This window comes from Homo sapiens, chromosome 1 (assembly GCF_000001405.40).
Source record: "Homo sapiens chromosome 1, GRCh38.p14 Primary Assembly".
In the NCBI taxonomy this organism is placed as follows: Eukaryota; Metazoa; Chordata; class Mammalia; order Primates; family Hominidae; genus Homo; species Homo sapiens.
The window spans coordinates 161,180,169-161,184,301 of record NC_000001.11 but is presented as its reverse complement, the minus strand read 5'-3'; the positions used below and the strand labels follow the sequence as shown (position 1 = coordinate 161,184,301).

The following is a 4,133-nucleotide window of genomic DNA, read 5'->3' as shown; positions in this document are numbered from 1 at the left end:
TATCTCTTCCTTTGTCTGCTCCCTGACTTCTAACCCCTGCATTCACGTGAGAAAACAGTTATATCAAGGAACTGTCTAGGTCAGATCTAAGGGCCATTTTGTAAATTTGTGCAAAAAGTTCTGGCTTACATTGAAGGGATGATAAAAGGAAAGACATGGTCCTAATCCTCAGAGTTCACAATCTGGTGGCTGAGACAGTCAAGTAGGACAAAAATTTCAGACTTCTGTGATAGGTGCCATGATCAAGGAGGGGCACCTAGCACAGAATATGAGGCCACAGAAGTGTTTCTGGAGGAGGTGCCTGTCTCTCCTTCTAGAAGTGAGCAGTAAGGCTGGGCACAGTGACCCATACCTGTAGTCCCAGCACTTTGGGAGGCCAAGGTGGGAGGATCACTTGAGGCCAGAAGTTCAAGACCAGCCTGGGGGACATGATGAAACCTGGTCTCTACAAAAAATACAAAAAAAGGCAGGGTGCAGTGGCTCATGCCTGTAATCCCAGCACTTTGGGAGGCCAAGGCAGGTGGATCATGAGGTCAGAGTTCAAGATCAGCCTGGTTTGAGAATCTGGTCTCTGGTTCGAGACCAGACCAGGAGTTCGAGACCAGCCTAGTAGATAGAAGATGAAACCCCATAGCTACTAAAAATACAAAATTTAGCCAGCACGGTGGTGGGCACCTGTAATCCCAGCTACTTGGGAGGCTGAGGCAGAAGAATTGCTTGAACCTGGGAGACAAAGGTGGCAGTGAGCCAAGATCATGCCACTGCACTCTAGCCTGGGCATCAGAGCAAGACTCCATCTCAAAAAAAAAAAAAAAAAAAAAAAAAAAAAAAAAATTAGCCAGGTGTGCTTGTGCACGCCTGTAGTCCTAGCTACTCAGGGAATGGGGTGGGGGCTGAGGTGGGAGGATCACTTAAACTCAGGAGGTGGAGGCTGCAGTGAGCTGTGATTGTGCCACTGCACTCCAGCCTGGGTGACAGAATGAGAACTTGTTTCCAAAAAAAAAAAAGAAAGCTGTAAGACTGCAGGGAACCCATGGATGGTGGGAGGGTGTCAGGGGGGCATGATTTCTGTTTGCTAGGTCAGGTTCAGGTTCTTCTATGTTATACAAAACCAAAGTGAGGTAAAGAGGTAAAGAGAACAGACCAGAAAACCAGAAACTGGAGGATAATATGGTAAGAGAAAGAGCTGAGTGGGAGAGAGATCTGGAACAACAGTGTAGGCTGAGGGGAGTTGGAAGGGATAGTTTTGGGAAGAAATAACATCCAAGTAGAAAATGTTGAATGGAAGAGGGAGAGGAATATTTTTTTTTTTTGCAACAGAGTCTCCCTCTGTTTTCCAGGCTGGAGTGCAGTGGCGCCATCTCCACCTCCCAGGTTTAAGCAATTCTCTTGTCTCAGCCTCCCGAGTAGCTGGAATTACAAGCGTGTGCTGCCACACCCGGCTAATTTTTGTATTTTTAGTAGAGACAGGGTTTCACCATGTTGGTCAGGCTGGTCTCGAACTCCTGACCTCAGGTGATCCACCTGCCTCGGCCTCCCAAAGCGCTGGGATTACAGGCATGAGTCTCTGCGCTCGGCCGAGACAGAGGATTTTAAAGACATTGGGCTGTCCATTAAAATGTGCTCCTAATCCACTGCCCCTTTCCCCTGTCTCTGATATTTCCTTGAGAAATTAAGTAGAGATTTAAATTAGTTTTTGATTACTAAACTGGGTTTCTTCTATTGTGTTATGTGCCATGACTGGGCCAGTGTGGGCCCCAGGATTTATTCAGAATATTGAAAGACAGGATGTTGTGGTGGAAACCAGCATGTTAAAATTTAAGTTTTCAGAAACATAACAGTTCTAGGTGATGACTAAGTCCAGGGTGTGGCCAGGGTGAGACAGAGCAGAAGGGAAGGTTCTTGAAAACAGGGAGCTTACAAATTAATGTAAAGGAATGGCCAGAAGATAGTAGATAGGCCTTTGTGGTGGCTCACAGGAGGCTCACTTGAGGCCAGGAATTCAAGACCAGCCTGGGCAACAGAGTGAGACTCCGTCTCCACAAAAAACTAAATTAGCTAGGTACACACCTGTAGTCCTAGCTACTTGAGAGGTTGAGGCAGGAGGATCACCTTAACCCAGGAGTTCAAGGCTGCAGTGGGCTATAATCATGCCATTGCACTCCAGCCTGGGTGACAGAGTGAGTCTCTGACTCTAAAAAAGAAGATGGTTAGATACAGAAGGAGACAGAAAGTGAAGGCTGGGCGCGGTGGCTCAAGCCTGTAATCCCACCACTTTGGGAGGCCGAGGTGGGCAGATCACCTGAGGTTAGCAGTTTGAGACCACCCTGACCAACATGGAGAAACCCCGTCTCTACTAAAAATACAAAATTAGCCGGGCGTGGTAGCACATGCCTGTAATCCCAGCTACTTGGGAGGCTGAGGCAGGAGAGTTACTTGAACCCAGGAGGCGGAGGTTGCGGTGAGCTGCAGATCATGCTGTTGCACTCCAGCCTGGGCAACAAGAGAGAAACTCCATCCCAAAAAAAAAAAAGAAAGTGAGGGTCAGTCCTGTAAGACAGAACGCGATGGAGGAACAGAGGCTCAAAGGAAGGGTCCTCTGGGAGAACCACATTTTCTCTCTTTCTCTCTTTCTTTCTTCTTTGAGACAGAATCTGGCTCTATCACTCAGGCTGGAGTAGTGCAGTGGTGCAATCAGCTCACTGCAGCCTTGAACTCCTGGGTTCAAGTGATCCTCCCACCTCAGCCCTGTGAGTAGCTGGAACTACAGCTGTGAGCCACCATGCCCAGCTAATTTTTGTATTTTTCTTGGAAGGGAATTTTGCCATATTGCCCAGGCTGATCTTAAACTCCTGAACTCAACTGATCCACCTAACTGGGCCTCCCAAAGTGTTGGGATTACAGGCGTGAGCCATGATGCCAGGCCAAGAACCACATTTCAATGATCTGTTTAAGTCTGTCTTTTCCACTACACAGTGATATTCTTAAAAAATCAAGGCTTTTTGAGTTATACTATATCAGAAGCTAAAAATAATAATAAAAAATAATAAAAGTAAAACAAACAAAAAATCAAGTTTGGGAGGCCATAGCGGGAGGATCACTTCAACCCAGGAGTTTGAGACCAGCCTGGGCAACATAGTGAGACTGTCTCTTCAAAAAAAAAAAATTATAATAAAAAAAATCAAGGCTTTGTCTTGGCTTCTATTTGTGCTCAAAAGTTTTCCATAGTTCTAATGATCACAAAACCCCTTAAGGCTAGAGTTCATTTTACAGATGAAATCCAGAGTGTATTGCTCAGTACACAGCCAATGGGTTTCAAAGTTGGTATTGTATTTAAACCCAGCATTATCTCATTTTGAGCCTTCACAGGCACCTCAAACTCATTATGTCTAAAGTTTGTCATCTCTACCCCTTCCCCAAAATGTGCTTCTTCCTAAGTTTTGTTTCTCATTAAATGGCACCACCCAGTGGTCCAAATTAGAAATCTGGGTGTCCTCTTGGAGTCCAATTCCCTAACTTGGCACATCCAGTCAATCTTCAAGTCCTGTTTGCCTCCTGAAAGTTCCCAAAGTTACTTTCTTCCCTCCAGTCCCACGGGTATTACCTATTCTGCATGAGCTTCATCTTATTCCTGGATTTCTGCAGTAACTTTCTAAATAGTCTCCCTGCCTCTGGTCTTGACTACTTCAATTAGTGCTCCACATTTCCTAAAGTTCTGATCATAGCACTCTCTATTTACAGCACTTTAATGCCTTCTTCTTGCCCTCTGGATAAGACCCAAACTCTTTTAGCATGGTTTGTGGAGTCCTTCATTATTTGGCATTTGCTTACCTCTCCAGTCTCATATCTCAACATTCCCTTCACTCTACTGTCCAGCCTTGCGGGCCCAGTTTTAATTTCCCAAACTCCCTAATTTCTTCCTCATTTCCAGAATTTTGCACTTATGGTTTCCTCTGCTTGGAACACTATTCATCTGTTAAAAGTTAATTTTCTAGCTGGGTGTGGTGGCGCATGCCTGTAATCCCAGCTACTCGGGAGGCTGAGGCAGGAGAATTGGCTGAACCCAGGAGGCGGAGGTTGCGGTGAGCCAAGATGGTGCCATTGCACTCCAGCCTGGGCAACAAGAGCAAAAC

General features: G+C 45.9%; 1 annotated feature.

Annotated features, from left to right (window-relative positions):
* Positions 1,878–1,937: an enhancer, noted in NCBI's record as "active region_1981". NCBI's record gives its function as "activates an Ori minimal core promoter by ATAC-STARR-seq in GM12878 lymphoblastoid cells {active_cell/tissue: GM12878}" and the evidence as "EXISTENCE:reporter gene assay evidence [ECO:0000049][PMID:35858748]".